We start from the raw sequence: 19,312 nt of genomic DNA, 5'->3' as shown, positions 1-19,312 counted from the left end.
TTTTTAAAATTTGTTTTCCAACAGGGCTAATCATAAATAATAGAATATATTTTACAATAGTTGAAGGTAACAAAAAGTAAGTGCCATTTAAAAAATTGTATTAGATTGTTTAAAAATGTTGTGGGTACATAGTATGTGTATGTATCTGTGGGGTCCATGAGATGTTTTGATACAGGCATGCAATGTGAAATAAGCACATCATGGGGAATAGGGTATCCCTCCCCTCAAGCATTTATCCTTCAAGTTATAAAAAATTCAATTGCAGTCTTAGTTATTTCAAAATGTACAATTACATTATTATTGAATATAGTCACCCTATTGTGCTATCAAATAGTAGGTCTTATTAACTCTCTATTTTTATACCCATTAGCCATCCCCACCTTCCCACAACACCCCCTGCCGCTACCTTTCCCAGCCTCTGATAACCATCCTTATACTCTCTGTGTCCATGAGTTTGTTTTGATTTTAGATTCCACAAATTAGTGAGAACATGTGACATTTGTCTTTCTGTGCCTGGTTTATTTCACTTAACATAATGATCCATAATGTTCCATCAATGTTACTGACCATGACTGGATCTTATTCTTTGTTATGGCTGAATAGTCGTCCGTTGTGTATATGTACCACATTTTCTTTATCCATTCATCTGTTGATGGACACTAAGGTTTCTTCCAAATCTTAGCGTTGTAAACAGTGCTGCAACAAATACGGGAGTGCAGATATGTATTTGACATACTGATTTCCTTTATTTTTGGTATACACCCAGCAGTAAGATTGCTAGATCATATGGTAGCTCCACTTTTAGTTTATTGAGAAACATCCAAACTGTTCACCTTAGTGGTTTTACTAATTTGCATTCCCAGGAGCAGTGTACAAGAGTTCCCTTTTCTCTGCATCCCTGCTAGCATTTGTTATTGCCTGTCTTTTGCATACAAGTCATATAAACTGTGGTGAGATGATATCTTGTTGTAGTTTTGATTTAAATTTCTCTGATGATCGGTGATATTGAGCACTTTTCTTATACCTGTTTGCCATTTGTAGGTCTTCTTTTGAGAAATACCTATTCAAATCTTTTGCCCCCCTTTTTTTAGCTAGGTTATTAGATTGTTTCCTAAAGAGTTGTTTGAGTTTTCTATATATTCTGATTATTAATCCTTGTCAGATGAGTAGTTTGCAAATATTTTCTCCCATTCTGTGGATTGTCTCTTAACTTTGTTGATTGTATCATTTTCTGTGCAGAAGCTTTTTAACTTAATGTGATCCATTTGTCCATTTTTGCTTTGGTTGCCTGTGCTTGTGGGGTATTGCTCAAGATATTTTTGCCCAGACCAATGTCCTGGAGGTGTTCCCCAAAGTTTTTCTGTACTAGTTTTATAGTTCGAGGTCTTGGCTTTACATCTTTAAACAACTTTGATTTTACTTTTGTATTTGGTGATAGATACTAGTCTGTTTTCATTCTTCTGCATATGGATATCCAGTTTTTTCAATACCATTTCCCACCAGTGTATGTTCTTGGCACCTTTGTCAAAAATGAGTTCACTGTAGGTACATTTGTACATTTGTTACTGGGTTCTCTATTCTGTTCCATTGATCTATGAGTCTATTTTTATGCCAGTACCATACTCTTTTGGTTGCTATAATTCTGTGGTATAATATGAAGTCAGAAAATATAATTCCTCCAGTTTTATTTATTTATTTTTGCTTAGGATAGTATTATTTCTTATAGTGAAAGCATTCTATGTTATTTATTATTAGTCTAATTTTGTAGTTTTACAATGCTATCCTCTTTTACAAAGCTATGATCAACTCAGTGTGTCCAGATCAGGATCATTTGTAGCTATTTGCAAAAGTAGCAATATTCTGGCTGGGCATGGTGGCTCATGCTTATATTCCCAGCACTTTGGGAGGCCAAGACAGGCAGATCACCTGAGGTCAGAGGTTCAAGACCAGCCTGGTCAACATGGTGAAACCCTGTCTCCAATAAAAATACAAAAATTAGCCGGGGATGATGGCAGATGCCTGTAATCCCAGCTACTCAGGAGGCTGAGGCAGGAAACTCACTTGAACCCGGGAGGTGGAGGTTGCAGTGAGCCCAGAATGTGTCATTGCATTCCAGCCTGGGTAACCAAGCGCGACTCTGTCTCAAAAAAGAAAAAAAAAGCAATATACTGTGTAATCGTTGACAGCATAATTCACTATTATGTAGATCGGAGAGCAGAGGATTCTGAATGCATGAACATATCATTAACATTTCAACACATTACTCATAATTACTGATGAACTAAAGAGAAACCAAGAAATCATGGTGATAGTTATATTGACCTGGAGAAATGTAGACACAAAAGAACCGTAAGATGAGAAATGTGTTAACACAGTCTATAAGGGCATGCAAGAATAAAAATAGGGGAGAAAACAGGAGAGTTTTTCAAGAGCTTTCTGGTCATGTAAGTCAACTTGTATCGGTTAATTTTTAAAAGGTTTATTTACATGCAATAAACTGCACATACTTCAATTGTACATTTTGGTAATTCTTGGCATTTGTAGCTCTATAAAACCAGCAACATATTAAAATAGCAAACATATCCATTACCTTTACCACCAAAGTTTTCTTGTGTTTTTTCTACTCACTTTTTCCTGCCTATCCCCCCATCTCTTCCACAGGTAACCACTGATCCACTTCCAGTCACTATCCATGAGTTTTTATTTCCAAATACATGAAATCATATGGTATGTATACTTTCTGATCACTCAGCATCACTATTTTTGTGATTAATTCATGTTGCTACATCTATCAGTTGTTCTGTTCTTACTAGGGAGTGTTATTTCATTATATACGTATACCATAGTAAGTTTATAAGTCACAAATTCACCTGCCATGGACATTTGGAATGTTTTCAGGTTTTGGCTGTTGCAAGTAAAGCTGCTATGAAGATTCATGTAAAATCCTCTGAATGGGCATATGCTCTTAGTTTTCATCTCTAATAGAAGTGGAATAGACAGCTATCATGTCTGTAATATGCAAACACAAAGGCTGACAAAACTGATTTCTAAAGTGGAAACTCCACTGGATAACCTTGACTCCAGCCTGGCTTTTGAGATTATCTCCTATGTTTGTGCAATGATTGGTCCTGGGGTAGCCACATGACCCAAGGAGGACCATGTTTAAACTTCTGAGTTTTCATCGAGATTAACATGCATTTGTTGAAAGAGAAAGCCCTTTTCTTCTAATCCCCCAACTGCAAATGCTTTCAGGGATCACATCATGTTGGCACATTTGGTTACAGTGTTTCCTAAACTTCGAGGGTAAAAATTGTTCAAGTAGGTAAAAATGGAGCAAATACAGAGAAAAAAGGAGTCCAGAAACATCAAATAAAAAAGAAAGGGCCTCCATAAAATCATTTGAACTTATGATTAATTCATTAGTCATTAAAACAAGTTTAATGTACAAAGAGTCATCCCCCCAACCACCCTTTATTCCTTCACCAAGTTTAAGTTACATTTTTTTAACTTGCAAACAAAAGATTTGTCATTAACTTAGACATCAAAACTCCTTGTCTCCAAGAGCAGTCATTCAACTCTGTCCCTCTCATTGTTACAATAATATGTTCACTTCATTCTGCATACACCTGCTCTTTGCCCTTGTCTCCCTATTCTATTCTATTAAAGTTACATCCAGACATTTATTTCATTTTGTATCAAAGAAACTGTATACATGTTTTTAATCTTAGAAAAATTTCTGAGTAATTTTTTGTCTCATATTTGATTTTAAGCCACCCAAGAAGCATTATTTTTTCATTTAGTATTTTAACTTTTCTAACCCAGGACTTTTATAGTAGATATTATGTCTTTTTCTAAATGCTCTGCTTCAATTTACATTTTAAATCTAAATTTTAAAAAGTGTACGTTTTCAATATTTGCATCATGTATCTCAGGCCTAAATATCCCTTGATAACCAATCCTGCCTTTTTTTCTCTGCATTTTTCACATATTTCAATAGGGAGCTATATCGCCTGACACAATAAAAGTTTTTGCCAATATAACATAACACATAGGCAAAATTTTGTTTCCAAGTGATTGATGATGTGGTGCCTTCAGTCTAGTCCCAATCCCTCAATGTAATCATCATCCCTATCTAATGAAATATGAAATAAATATTTCACTTTGTTTCTAAAATTCAGCAGACAAATATATAGCCTGTCACATACAGCCTGTAACACCAACATATAAAAATGAAAGCAGTTCCTTCTCCACTCCCACTGCTTCACTTGACTAGCCTTGAAAAATAATAACAATAATAAAAAATGAAAGCAAAATTGTTCCTTTATTTATCTTTGCAATTTAATGGATATACTGTCAGAAAAGCTCTTCTATATATATGGAGGGCCTCTATAAAATATAGACTCTTAACTAGAAAAGTAGACTTACATGATGGTTAAATTAAAAACACAATTATATATAGTACCTTCACAAATGCACCAGTACTTATTTCAGAATGCATGATGTAATTGACTAAACCATTTAGGGCTAGACCTCTGAAATAAAAGGCATTCACACTTTGTGATTCTAAGGGGAAAATATTATTCAAAATAGAAGCATGCAGAACCTTTACCTGATCATGATAAAAAAATTTTCCTACTTGTTGTGAATATGCCACAGCTTTTCAAGGTCAGCAAAAAGAGATTATCCCACAATATAAGCTGATGGCCAAAATTATCTGCCTTACTTTAGTTACCATAATATCTATTAAGTGTAAATTTCTTCTGAAAGAAAACAGATACATTTTTCTCAGAAATGTCTTTAGATGAAGATCTAGCACATCTGTTTTTCTAACTTTTGAAAATTTTGTTTTTATCGATAAATATATATGGGGTACAATGTGGTACAATACATGTAAATATTGTGAAGTGGACAAATTAGGCTAAATAACATATCCTTCACCTCAGATATTTATTACATTATGGTGAAACATTTAAAATGTACTATTTTAGCGCTTTTAAGATATGCACTATATTATGAGTAACTGCAGTCACTTTGCTGTGTACCATATCACCAGAATGTATTTCTCCTAACTGAAGCATTATCCCATTGAATATTTCCCCTTTTTCCACCCCCGCCACCCGACCTGCTCAGCCTCTGATAAACCACCATTCTACTCTTAACTTCTATGAGTGCACATTTTTGGATTTCACATGTAAGTGGTATCATGAGATATTTGTCTTTCTGTGTCTGGCTTATTTTACTTAGTATAATGTCCTCTAAATTCATCCACGTTTTTGCAAATGACAGAATTTCATTCATTTATAAAGATAAGTAGTATTTTTGTATGCATCCTACATATGCTTTTAATTTTCCACAGCTTTATTGAGATATAATTCATACATTATGTAATTCACTCATTTAAAGTACAAACTTCAAATTCTTTTAGTATATTAACTGGGTGGACAAATAATCTTCATAAGATAATTTTAGAACATTTTAATGCCCTTAAAAGAGACTTGCACCCATTAGCAATCTTTCCCTATTTTTTCCAGCCTTTTTAAAACCCCTCCTAGTCTAGGTGACCACTCATCTAATTTCTGACTATGAATTTGCCTATTCTGGACATTTCACATAAACGGAATCATAATAACACATAGTCATTTCTTACTCACTTCTTTCGCTTAACATATTTTTAATGTTCATCCATTTTGGAGCATGCATTAACACTTTTTTCCCTTTTGTTAAGAAATAAGATTCTATTTTATAGACACACCACATTTTATTCATCCACTCCTCAGTTGATGAACATTTCTGTTCTTTTCTACTTTTTGTTGCTATAAACATTTGTGTACTACTTTTTGTGTAGCATTTGTTTTCTTTTCTTTTTGGTAAATACATAGGAGTGGAATTGCTGGGTCATATGATAACTCTATGTTTAACCATTTGAAGAACTGCCAGACTGTTTTACATTTTAAGGTCTCACCAGTGGTGTAGAAGGGTTCCAATTTTTCCACATATTTTTATCCATTCTTCAGTTGATAGGCACTTAGGTTGTTTGTAATTCACGGCTATTATGAATATTGCTGCAATGAACATGAAATTGCAGATGTCTCTTTTTGACATATTGATTGAAATTCCTTTGGACACATATCCAGAAGTGGGATTGATGGATCATAGGGTAAATATATTTATAATTTCTTGAGAAAGCTTCGTACTGTTTTCCAAGATGGCTGTACTAATTTCCATTCCTACCAACAGTGTACAGGGTTTCTTTTTCTCCACATCCTCACCAACACTTATCTTCCATCTTTTTTTATAATAGCCCTAGTAAAATGTGTGAGGTGATATCTCATTGTGGCTTTGATTTGCACTTCTCTGATAATTAGGAATGTTTATGATTTTTTCATGTACCTGGTTGGCCTTTTGTATGACGTAGGAAATGTCTATTCTGATTCTTTGCTTATTTTTTAATAAGCATAGTTTTTTTCTTATTTTTGAGTAGGTTGAGTTGCTTATATATTATTATATGAGCCCCTTATCTGATGTATGGTTTAAAAATATTATCCCATTTGTGGGTTCTCTTAATTCTATCATTGCTTCTTTTCCTGTGGAAAAGTTTTAAGTTTTATGCAGTCTCATTTGTGTGTTTTGCTTTTGTTGCCTTTTGGAATAATCTACAGAAAATCATAGCTCAGGCCAATGTCATACAGTCTCCTTCTATATTTCCTTGTAGTAGTTTTACATTTAAACTTTAATTTTGATTTGATGCTTGTATAAAGAGCAAAATAAAAGTGAAATTTTATTCTTCTGTATGTGGATAGTCAGTTTTGTCTACACCATTTATTGAAAATAATTTTCTTTCTTCACTGTGTATTTTTAGTTATTTTATCAAAAAATCAATTGACCACAGACACACGGATTTATTTACAGGTTCTATATCCCTTTGTACTGTTTTACGTGTCTGTTTTTATGCCATTGCTATGCTGTTTTAATTCCTATAGCTTTGTAATAGAGTTTGGAGTCAGGTAGTCTGATGCCTCCAGCTTTGTTCTTTTTGTTCAAGATTGCTTTGGTTGGTCCAGGTCTTTTGTGGTTCCATACAAATTTTAGCAGTAATTTTTCTATTTCTGTGAAGAATGACATTGGAATTTGATAGTGGTTGCATTTAATCTGTAGATTGCTTTGGGTAGCATTGACACTTTTACAATACTAATTTTTGAATCCATCAATAAAGGATGTTTCTCCATTTATTTATGCCATTTTAATTTTTTTCATCAATGTGCTATAGTTTTCAGTATGTAAATCTCTTATGGTTTTGATTAAATTTACTCCTGTCTTTTATATGTTTATATATCTGTTTTGATTCTATTATAAATTGAATTGCCTTTATTTTTCAGGTAATAGTTTGTCATTAGTTAATAGAAACAATAATGATATTTGTATGTTGATTTTGTAACTATTAACTTTATTGAATTTCTTCATCAGCTATAACCATTTATTTTGGTGGAGTCTTTAAGATTTTCTCTATCTTAAGATTATATTTTCAAAAAACAGAAACAATCTTACCTCTTCCTTCCCTATGTGGATTTCTTTTACGTCTTTGTCTTGTGTAACTGTTCTGGCTAGGCAATTACACATAATGTTTTCATCATTTATAATTTTACATCGCATCCATCTATTGTGGCACATTGATTGCTACTTTTCAAGTTGTAAACCTGGACATTTATCACTACTCTTCCTCCAATACAGGAGTCCATGGCGTGGTGTGGGCCCTACTGTGCCACAGTCCAGGGCACGGCTGGGCTGAGGTTCTCTTGTGCAAGAGTCCGTGGCTCTGCGGAGCAAGAGTTCTCCAGTGCCTTAGTCCAGGGTTAGGCAGGGGTGGGGCTCCTTCAGTAGCTTAGTCCAGTGCGCCGCCCTGCGAGGGTCCTCCTGAGCAGGAGTACACGATGAGGCAGGGTCCTACTGTGCCTTAGCCCAGGAAGCGGGGGGCTGGGTCCTCTGGTGCCATAGTCCAGGCTGCCGGGAGCTGGGTCCTCTGGTGCCATAGCTCAGGCCGGCGGGAGCTGGGTCCTCTGGTGCCGTAGTCCAGGGTGCAGCAGAACAGGAGTCCTGCGGAGCAGTAGTCCAGGGCGCGCTGGGGCGTGGATCCTCAGGTGCCACAGTCCAGAGCGCGACAGGGCAGGATTCCTGCCTTGCTATATCCAGGGTGCAGCGGGGCGGGGGTTCTCTTCTGCAGGAGTCCAGGACGTGGCAGAACGGGAGTCCTCCGTGTAGGAGTCCTCCGGTGCTGGAGTCCAGAGCACAGTGAGGCTGGGTCCTCCCGTGCCATAGTGTAGGGCATGGCGGGACAGGGATCCTGCCCTGCGATAGTCCAGTGCCTGAGTCCGCAGTAAGGCAGTGGTCCTCCAATGCTGGAGTTCACGGCGTGGTGGGGTCACGGTCCTTCAGTGTCTTAGTCCATGGGTACCAGGGCGGGGGTCCACAGTTGCCATAGTGAGGACCTGGGAGGAGTGTGGTTCCTGCCTCGCTGTAGTCCGGGGAGCAGGGGGCAGGGGTCCTCTCTTGTCAGAGTCTCTGGCGCGGGGTGGGGGTGGGGTGGGGGTTTTCCTATGCGATAGCCCACGGGGCGGTGAGGCCAGGTCCTCGCTTGCCTTTGTCGTGGGCGCAGGGGGACGAGGGTCTTCGGTGGTGGGGTCCTCGGAGCGGCAGGGCAGGGGTCCTCCAGTGCCATATTCCAGGGTGCGGCGGAGTGGGCGACCTGTCCTGCAGTGGTCCAGGGCATGCGGGAGTGGTGGTCCTCCTGTGCCATAGTCCAACGCGCGGCGGGGAGGGGGTCACCTCGGCCTGCAGTCCACCACGCACGAGACCCCGGTCCTGCTGTGCCCCAGTCCAGTGCGCGGAGGGACGGCAGTCCTTCTGTGCTGTAGTGCAGGACGCGGTGGGGCAGCCGTAACCCAGAGAGCGCCGTGGCAGGGGGTCCTCCAGTGCTGGAATCCAGTTCATGGCGGGTCAGGGGCCTTATTGTTCCGAAGTCGGTGGCAAGGATCCTCCCGGGCCATAGTCTAGGGGGCGACGGGGCAGGGTTCTCTAGTGCAGGTGTCCAGGGTGCGGTGGGGCAGGAGTCCTCTGGTGCAGAAGTCCAGGACGTAATGGAGTGGGAGTACTCCAACGCCAGAGTCCAGGGCTCTGCGGGGCGGGGTTCCCCCATGCCAGAGGGTAGGGCGCTTTCAGGCGAGGGTCTTGGCGTGCAGTAGTTCAGGGTGCGGTGGGGCAAGGATAGTCCAGATCTCCATGGCGGGGGTTCCTCTGTGCAGGAGCCCAGTGCCCGGCGGATCGGGGTCCCTCCGTGCTGTAGTCCAGGGCACGGCAAGATGTGGGTCCTCTGGTGCCCTATCCAGGGGGCGGTGGGTCAGAGGTTCTCCCCTGTCTTGGTCTAGGGCCCGGCGGGACTGAGGTCCTGGAGTCCACGCGGTAGCCCAAGTTGCCTCAGGACCAGGTCCTCTGGATCCACAGTCCAGAGCACAGAGGGGCAGGAATAGCTCAGGGCGAGCCAGGGCCGAGGTCCTCGGGAGCCACAGTCCAGGGTGTGGAGGGGTGGGGGTTCTGCAGTGGCACAGCCAGGACACAGCGGGGCGGGGCGGGGATCCTCTGGTACCTTAGTCCAGGGCGGAGCCGGGGGAGAGGTCCTTCAGTAGCATAGTCTAGCGCATGGCGTTGCAGGGGTCCTCCAGTGCCTGAGGCCAGGGCGGGTCGCGGGTCCCACTGTACTCTCGTTCAGGGCGGAGCAGGTCTGGGGTCTTCTGCTTCAGTCTAGGGCGCTGGAGAGTGGGGGTCCTCTGGTGCCAGAGTCCATGGAGCCATGGGTCGGCGTCCTGCCATGTCTTAGCCCAGAACGGGGAGAGGCGGAGATCCTCCTTTGCCCTAGTCCAAGGCATTGTGAGGCCCCGCTCCTGCACAGAGGCGGTCTGTTCCTCTACCGCCGTGGGGAAAAACTGCACCATCTCTGGCAAGCCTAACCCAGCAGCTGTCCTTAAAAGATTCCCAGTTGAGTGTGGTTCAGAGCAGCCCTGAGAAGTGTGCCCTTAGATGGCTTCAAGGGCTCTGGGCAGTGTTTAAGGAATCCAGCTGACCTCAGTTACTCCAAGCCCTTTTCCACTCAGCAGAACTTCTGGCCACCCGGGTCCTCTATCTGTGGAGCCCTTCTATCATCCCAGATCCCCACAGGGTGGACTCCCTCTCATCCTCACAATCTCAGCTCAGGCCTTATTCATCACCGCATTCCTGGCACCAGGCCTGGCCCATGAGAAATGGGTCAGATTAAGAGCTAAATGTGTTTTCATGGTCACTTGTTTTCTTCAGGCCTCCTTTCTTTGTGCCAACATCTTTGGGTTTCTGGTTAAAGTTTTCAGCAGCTGCATGCGGTTCCATTTTTCTTACCAGGTAAGAGACATAGCTTCATGAAAACAAAGGCAGAACGCTTGTGACCAGAGAACTCCCAGTCCTCTCCCTGCATAGGAAAACTGGACTTCTCCGGAAGGCTCCAGCTCCTGGGCAAATCTCTAGGGCCACTTAATTGGGCTATCCCCCACCTTTGTTTCTGGTTTTGAAGGGACCAAAGTTGGGAATCCTTTTTCAGTCTCTACACACGGAGCCCTTCTTTGGTGGGAAAGTCTTAACATATACCAGGATTCTCACTGACCTTTCAGAGCCTTCAAGAATCCTGAGCTGCTTTGGCTTCTGTTCCTGGAAGAGAGGCCACTGAACTGCTCTGGAGCTGGATTTCAAGTTCAGATATTCATCACTGTTACTAAGCCTTTACATAGCATGTGATTTCTTTCTGGCAGGCTCATGGTCACCTAGGTTTGCTTATATGTAGATGGAGGGTCTGCATCCTCATTCAGGTAACACCCTCAGTCTTTCATGCTGAGATTGGCCATTTTATTTGTAACTCACTGTACAATCCATTTGCTCTTCGAGTGTCCCTTAGAAGGATGCAGAGTGTTCTGTAGAATGCCATAGAGACCTGGGTTTAGGGAAAATATTTGACCAAATGTCCACCAACTCACATGAGTATCTCCCCACAACTTGTACAGTGCTAGTCTCTGGGTATATAGTAAATGAAACCGTGCCTGAGCAGATGTTACAAACACCCTCCACTGTGAGACTGCAGGGCTGCTTTATTCAAGCAACAGTGTGCTCTAATAAGGTCAGAGTTGAGAGAAACAAGTTTTCATTCCAGCTTTCTCAAAAACTCCCTTTGTGACTTTAGACATCATAATAACACTACCTAAGTAGTGAACACCTCTGTGCCAAGAAATATCATGGTCATTGCCTGAGTTGTAATTCTCACAGTAGTCCTACAGGATAGCTGCTATTACTGCTTATTACGCAGATGGACAACCTGAGGCTCAGATGGAGTTAAGTGGCTTAATTGGTAGCAATCGAGCCAGGATTTGAACCCAGGGCTGCCTGATCACCAAATAAAATTGTATTCAACATGATGCACTTAACTTTTCTGGCCTCATTTCTCTCACCTGTAAAAATGCAGGTTTCAGATGTTTGTAATATTTTACCTGTGGTTTAAAGAGTTACCAGCCCTTCCTCGATGACCCATGGTAAGACCCATGAGCCTTTGAATATAATTATAGAAAACATTTGAAGAGGGATAGAGAAAGACGAGATCATGGCTCCTTTGATAACGTCAAATTTTCAGTGCACTAAGCCATACATAGTGCAGTTTTCTAGCTTCCCTTTCACAAACGGTGTTGAAGAAAGTAAATTAAGCAACTCAGCTATCACTGGGAATGCAGTAGAAGTAATCAAGTCCAGTGCTGGGAGATAGTTGCCATGATATTCCAACATGGACACCAGGATCACAGTCGATGACTATGCCCTCCCTTGAAGATGGTGGCTTGCCTCTCTTTCTGTAAGCAAATGTCATGTCATAACAGTATTAAACAATTACAAGTAATGTCCCCATCTGCTTCTGCACTGCCTTTGAAATACTATTTCAGATCTGCCAAAATAAATGGCAAACTCGTTAACAAGAAAGCAGGGTGGGGGGTGCATTCATCCCTGCCTTCCTGAGTAGTCTATTCACCCAAAGACAAAAGGATGACCAGCTTCCATCAGGGATATTCAAAGACACAGTCAACCTGCCATGCAGCCAGAGGCTGGCAAAGGTCCAATCCCCTTTTTAAGAAGCTTGTTGGATGAGCTCTTTAAACATACAACCACAAAGGAAAGGCACAGCCAGTGTGAGGGAGGCTGATAAGATGGGCATTTTGTTTGCTTCAAGGTTAGAATGCAACTTGTCTATCAAAATGTGGTTATCTGACCTCCACAATGCTGCAGTCCAGTTAAATACTGCAAATATTCATCCACCATTTACTATGGATAAAACAATAATGTGCTGTGGGGAATCCAATTACACAGACACACACACACCCAAGAAAGTGCACACACACGTGGGCACACACACTGCTCCTGCTGCCTCAGAGCTTCCAGGCCGGCAAGGAGTAAGTGCAAACATTAGTAGGTAAGTCTGCTACCAGGAAGAATATGATAAGTAGATCCAACAGGGTACAACGCAGTATGATAGAAGCAAACGAGGTTGAGATGAGTTCTGACTCCCTTTCACTTATAAAACTGATTATGGAATAGTTTATGAAAGACTCGCCTGGATGAATCTCATATTTTCCAAGTGTTTTCTATCCCAGTGATTGGAACTTTTATTCCTCTATACCATTGTCCAAAAAGAAAGAACAGGAGATTTTCCTAAGACCATCCTCTGTCTTATCCCTCATATCCCAAACATCACCAAGCCCTGTCCACTTTTACCTACTCAGTTTCTCTCCACTTGCTCTATTTTCTCCATAAGCACTAGCAATACCTTGGTTACATGACATTCTGAGAAACTTCTTTGTGATGTGTGCTTTCATCTCACAGAGTTGAATATTTCTTTTCATTGAGCAGTTTGTAAACAGTCGTTTAGTAGAATCTGCAAAGGGACATTTGTGAGACCATTGTGGCCAATGGGGCAATAGGAAATATCTTCACATAAAAACTAGACAGAAACTTTCTGGGAAACTTCTTTGTGATATGTGCTTTCATCTCACAGAGTTGAACCTTTCTTTTGATTGAGCAGTTTGGAAACAGTCTTTTTGTAGTATCTGCAAATGGATATTTGGAGCACTTTGAGGCCTATGGTGAAAAAGGAAATATCTTTACTTAAAAACTAGACAGAAGCATTCTGAGAAACTTCGTTGTGATGTGTGCATTCATCTCACAGAGTTGAAGCTTTCTTTTGATTGAGCAGTTTTGAAACACTCTTTTTGTAGAATCTGCAAGTGGATAATTGGAGTGCTTTGAGGCCTATGGTGGAAAAGGAAATAACTTCACGTAAAAACTAGACAGAAGCATTCTGAGAAACTTCTTTGTGATGTGTGCATTCATCTCACAGAGTTGAACCTTTCTTTTGATTGAGAAGTTTTGAAACACTCTTTTTGCAGAAACCGCGAGTGGATATTTGGAGCGCTTTGAGGCCTGTGGTGGAAAAGGGAATATCTTCACATAAAAACTAGACAGAAGCATTCTGAGAAACTTCTTTGTGATGTGTGCATTCATCTCACAGAATTGAACATTTCTTTTGATTGAGCAGTTTGGAAACCGTCGTTTTGTAGAATCTGCAAAGGGATATTTGTTAGCCCATTGAGGCCTAAGGGGAAAGAGGAAATATCTTCACATGAAAACTAGACAGAAACTTTCTGAGAAACTTCTTTGTGATGTGTGCTTTCTTCTCACAGAGTTGAAACTTTCTTTTGATTGAGCAGTTTGGAAACCGTCTTTTTGTAGAATCTGCAAGTGGATATTTGGAACCCTTTGAGGCCTATGCTGAAAAAAGAAATATCTTCACTACATGATGACCACCAGCAGCAGCTGGGGAAACCAGCACCCTGTGGAATTCCATACGGTGCATAGAATACATCCTCCCTTCAGTCGGCTTGGGTCAACTTAGGTCATGGGCCACCTGGCTGATAGCAGTTTCCACAGAAATGCTTCAAGATGGTATAATAATCCAAATCTCTTTGCATGGGGCATGGTGTGGCTATCTGAGAAAAACCTGGCTTTTATAGGAAGGAGAAAGAAGAATGCTTCTTGAGGGGAAGAAACCAACAGCAATGTGCCTCAGGGAAATGTCACCAGAGGAGAGTGAGCTGTAATGACTATTTTGGCAGATTATTTCTTGTGGTTCTTGGGTTCCTTGGCCCTGCACAGAGCTACCATTTACTCATTTGACAAATATTTGAGTGGTAGACTCCAGGGTTCAATAGTGATCAAAAATGCACAGAATTTCTTCCCTAGTGGAGCTTAGAATCTAACAGAAAGAGCTGACATTAGTCACAAAATTATGTAATAAGGGAAAGTGCAGCAGACCCAGGTGTGCTGCAAGAGCCTGCGAAGGCAGACTGACCCCAAGACAGAGGCAGGAAAGGATGCCTCCAGGAAGCAGCAATTGAGCCAAAATCAGGGAGAAAACTAGGCAAAGACACAGTATTCAGGAGGAGGTAGAAGCTGGCCCATGAGGACGGTGGTGTGGAGAGGTGAACCAATACCCAGGTCCTTGGATTTATTGTTGAGCTGCTGAATGAACCAGGGCTGGCTCTTGCCCAACCTCTGCACTTCTTGTTTTGCAAGGTTATAAATTTTTTTATTTAAAAGCTAGTATGAGTTGGGATCTGTTGCTTTTCTGAGACCCCGTCCTGTGAGGTAGACAGGGGGCCTCACTGTACTCTGGGGAACTAAAGATGGAGAAGGGTTTTAGAGTGCCTGGAGAAGAGGCCCTTTAACGGATCATTTTAGAAGAGGGTGCTACTGCTAGACTGCCCAGATTCCCTTTCTGTCTTTGTGACCTTGGACTCTCTGTGTCTGTTTTCCAATCTGAAAAACAGAATAATGATAGTATCTGCCTCTGCCTGCAAGACCCTGACCTATCAGACCAACTACCTTTTCACTAGAACTCTCTTCTTGCACTGTACCCCAACTGGACCACTCATTAAAACTTAAAATGGGCATATTTTCCTTTTCTAGATTTTGCTCAAGACATTTCCCTCATCAAAATTAAATTTGGTCCATCTCCCCCTATTGGAATTAAACCCATTCTCCAGAAATCAGTTCAAATTTTATCAGCAGAAAGCCTCTCTCAATTACCCCCACCTTCTTTTATTCTTTGGGCCATTTCTGCTATCATTTCTGTTTTTCTTTTTTGCTACATATTGGTGTAGGTACATACGATCTCCACTTCCACTCAAATGTGAGGTTACTGCGGGCAGTCCCTATGGATATAGTCATATCCCAAGAGTCCTGGGCAGAGGGTTTCCCTCTTTCACCCAGGCTGGAGTGCAGTGGTGCAACCAGAGCTTACTGCAGCCTCAACCTCCTGGGGTCAAATGATCGTCTCAGCCTTTCCAGTAGCTGGTACTAAAAGCGGGCACCACCATGCTTGGCTAATTTTCATATTTTTCATAGAGACGGGGTTCCACCATGTGGCCTTGCTTGGTCTGAAAGTTCTGAGCTCAAGCAACCCACCTGCCTTAGCCTCTCAACGTCCTGGAATGACAGCATGAGTTGCCACACCTGGCTGCATGCCGAATACTTTAGAGTTGTTTATGCCTGACACTTCCAGGGCATGCAGAACTATGGTGGCATTAACCGACACATTAACCAACTGCCTCACTTACTTTTCTTTTGACTCAGTTTATAAATTTTCTTAATTTAAATTTTAATTTCAACATGTATATATCTTTGAAATAAATAAAATAAGCTCTTTGAATGTTTGACATAACGTAGAAGAAATTGACAAATGGACATCTTTACTTCATTTTCTGTCTCAAAATGTGGTACAAATAGCCTCCCCTAAAGTGATCCCAATTATTACATAGCCATCTTGCTGTGGCTAATGTAGAATGTTTTTGCAGTATCACATGCACGAAGGGCATATCCAAAAAACATTTGAGTGAAGATAATACTAGATTCTAGAAAGTATCTAGACACTTAAGAGCAGGTGGTGATGATGTTAATTAATAATAACAATGTTGAGGGGCTGGCTTCTGCCCTTCCCTAATAAGCATAAAGAGCATATAAACTCAGCAAATTTGCTCTTATTTTCTTCATTATTTGGTTTTTGAATCAGTAAATGCTTTCCACAGGGGTCATCTTGTTAGTCATCTTGTCATTTTGCTGTGTCCCATCTTCGTCCTTGCAATTTTTCCTTTTTCCCATTTTGGCATGTATTGAGAGGAGTGTTATGCTGATGAAATGCCCTGTCCTGAATTGCTATCTGATTAGAACTTCCCTCAATTTTTAAAATGCTTCTTGACATGGTTTGGATTTGTGCACCCCCCACCCCCAATCTCATATGGAATTGTAATTGTCAGTGTTGGAGGAGGGGCTTGCTGGAAGGTGACTGGATCATAGAGGTGGTTTCTAATGGTTTAGCCTCATCCACCTCGTGCTGTCTGATGATAAAGTTCTCCTGAGATCTGCTTGTTTAAAAAGTGTGTAGCACCTCCCCTGACTCTTTTCAGCCATGTGAATATGTGCTTGCCTCCTTTTCACCTTCTGCCATGATTGTAAGTTTCCTGAGGCCTCCCTATAAGCATAAGTCTGTACAGCCCACAGAACTGTGAGCCAATTCAATCCCTTTTCTTTTTCAATTACCCACTCTCATGTATATCTTTATAGCAGTGTGAGAACAGATTAATACACTCCTCCTCAGAAAGCATTCAATTTAGCTGTGTCTAAAGTATGCCAGGTGTTCTAGGGTGTTATCTTAGCCAATAATTCTTCCTCTTCAGCAAGATCTATTTGCCTATGACAGCTTGACCTACATTTCCTACCATACTTGTCAGTAACAAGTAGCCCATAACATCTGAATGGACTTCATTGAAATCACAGAGGTTCTTTAGTTCTCTACTTTATTAGCAGGCATTCGGGAAACACATCAACTTTCTAATTTAATAAGGTGCCTGTTGCTTTGAAAAACTGCTCAAAAGAAGATAGGAGAGGCTTACTTAAAGATATCACTATAGGCATGGCATGCTGGTTCACACCTGTAATCCTAGCACTTTGGGAGGCTGAGGAGAGAGGATCACTTGAGTCCAGAAGGTCAATACCAGCCTAGGTGACATGGCAAAGCCCCATCTCTACAAAAGAAAACAAAATCCAAAAAATATTTAGGCATGGTGGCATGTGTTGCATTCCCAGTTACTCAGGAGACTGAGGTGGGAGAATCACTGAGCCCAGGGAGGTTGAGGCTGCAGTGAGCCATGATCATGCTGCTGCATTCCAATCTGGGGACAGAGCAAGAGCCTGTCTCAAAAAAAATGTTATCACTGTACTATCTATAACTATTCTTAATTAGAATAACTAGGTTTTTTTCAACAGTGGAAACTCAAAACAGACAAAATTGTTGTACCTCAAGGTGTGTTGTCGTAGTCATATAATTCCTTTGCTTGTAACTGCCCAATAAATGGATGAGGACTCACTTCACCCATAAATAAGAAAGGTGAACAGCACATGGGGCCTGTAGATGCCTTTTGCAGGGCCCTCTTTTTCTCTTCCTAAAGTTGCAATTTGAGTATTTCTCTAGATGGGCACATCATAGAAACTGTCGTCCTAGATCAGAGCCTGGGGAGAGAGATACAGGTGTCATGCTTACATCTGCAGAGTGGGAACAAGCCCAGAAAAATCAAGATGATTAAGCAGAGAGCTTCCATACTGGAGATAAACCAGCTGTGTAAAAAATCATTGCACCAAAAAAGCATTGCACCATCGACATAACTGCTTTAACTAAGAAGTAAAGGAACTGATGCCCCAGCAGAGCACAGAGAGCCACAGAGACAGGAGCTGCATTTCAAACAAGGTCATTGCTGTTGTCCCCACCCTGAGTTAAGTATCTCTGCTTCACCCTTCCTTACCAAAGTTCTGCTTGATCATCCTTTTGTTTTGTTTTCTTTTTTCTGTACTTCACTTCTTTGAGAAAATATAAACCAAAACCTTACATAAAACAGGAATTGAGCTTTTGACAATGTTAGCTCTTGAAACAACCGAACAAAAAGGTTTCTATTATTTCTCATCTCTGTGCTACCCAGTACAGTATCCAATAGCCACAGATGACTATTAAAATTAAAATTAATTCAAAGAAAACAAAATTTACAATTTAGTTGGTCAGTTGTACTAGCCACATTTCAGTTACTCAATAGCCACATGTGGCTAGTGGCTACTGAACTGGCCAGCACAAATGTAGAACATTTTCATCATCATAGTTCTCTAGGCCATGGAAAAATTACTGAACTCAATTTCCAGTGTGCACATTTATTTGCGTACCTAGGAGCTTTTTGACCCTGTGTTGAGATGCCTAAACAGCTTCCTGATTGACCTCCTGATATTTCTGCAAATGTGGACTAAGAGGCCAGGATTCCTCAAGGCCCAGGTGACTCAGGTTATTCCAAAATTATATTTGGACTACCAGTCCTCTGCTTGATTTGGGATGCAAAAGGGGACTTCTCTCCCTAATCACTAAAGTAGCTTTTCAATGTCCCCCTCTCATCATGGTAAGAGTCTCATTTCTTGAGACTCATTTCTTTCCATGACTTATGTTATGTTTTGGAGAGAGTGGATTCAGACAGAAGAGCTGGCTCTGTGCTGGTTTTCCAGGGGTCAGCCCTTTTGTCAGCGACGAGTCTGCCTCTCTACATGATGTACATTGTGTCCCACTACTGGTAATAGAATCTCAGCAATTGATTGACTGTTAGGTTATTTTCAAAGCTCAATATTCACAATAATCTAAAAGACATCCACATAACCACGAGGACAGACAGGGCTCTCATAACCTGCAAAGGACAAGGTGCAAATTTCTTCTTTCCATCCCAGCAACAAATCGACAACTCAGCCAGCACTAAAAGTTGGGGTAAAAATTAATTAAAAGAAAAATGTATCAAGGATAGATAAAAGAACAAAAAAGCTATTGCAGCTGTCTTCTCCATGACAGAGGGCTGTGATCTGAATTTTAATGTTTTCATCTACTTTCTACTTTTGTGTTTCTTTTATTATTTTTTTCACTGTCTCTTATTTGTAGATACAAATTTTTAATATTTGAAAGCTATTTTAAATATAATCTTTAAAAGGAGAAACATTCTTTTTTTTTGCACAAAATACTGAAGGTGAGATCCACTGATTGCAATGCAACGGGACAATATATCTGGAAGCAATTTTATCCAGAAAAATCAATAGCTTTAAAACAATTCACAACCTTGGACCTAATACCTCT

The 19,312-nt window shown here is 41.2% G+C and overlaps 2 long non-coding RNA genes across 4 annotated transcripts in view; both read left to right on the top strand.

The window, feature by feature from the left end:
- LINC01297-DUXAP10-NBEAP6 (LINC01297-DUXAP10-NBEAP6 readthrough) overlaps positions 1 to 19,312 on the top strand; it is a 115,486-nt gene that overhangs the window by 13,369 nt on the left and 82,805 nt on the right. Inside the window, exon 3 of one of the 3 annotated variants that reach the window (NR_164310.1) lies at positions 2,662 to 2,727. The exons of the other annotated variants lie outside the window; for them this stretch is intronic. This is a non-coding gene — a long non-coding RNA (LINC01297-DUXAP10-NBEAP6 readthrough). The remainder of the gene's footprint in view (positions 1 to 2,661; positions 2,728 to 19,312) is intronic. 3 annotated transcript variants of the gene reach the window in all.
- LINC01297 (long intergenic non-protein coding RNA 1297) overlaps positions 1 to 19,312 on the top strand; it is a 39,960-nt gene that overhangs the window by 13,369 nt on the left and 7,279 nt on the right. Inside the window, exon 3 of the long non-coding RNA NR_164166.1 lies at positions 2,662 to 2,727. This is a non-coding gene — a long non-coding RNA (long intergenic non-protein coding RNA 1297). The remainder of the gene's footprint in view (positions 1 to 2,661; positions 2,728 to 19,312) is intronic.

Source organism: Homo sapiens, chromosome 14, assembly GCF_000001405.40.
Source record: "Homo sapiens chromosome 14, GRCh38.p14 Primary Assembly".
Taxonomy (NCBI): Eukaryota; Metazoa; Chordata; class Mammalia; order Primates; family Hominidae; genus Homo; species Homo sapiens.
The sequence above is the reverse complement of the archived record's forward strand: the minus strand, read 5'-3'. Positions and strand labels throughout refer to the sequence as shown.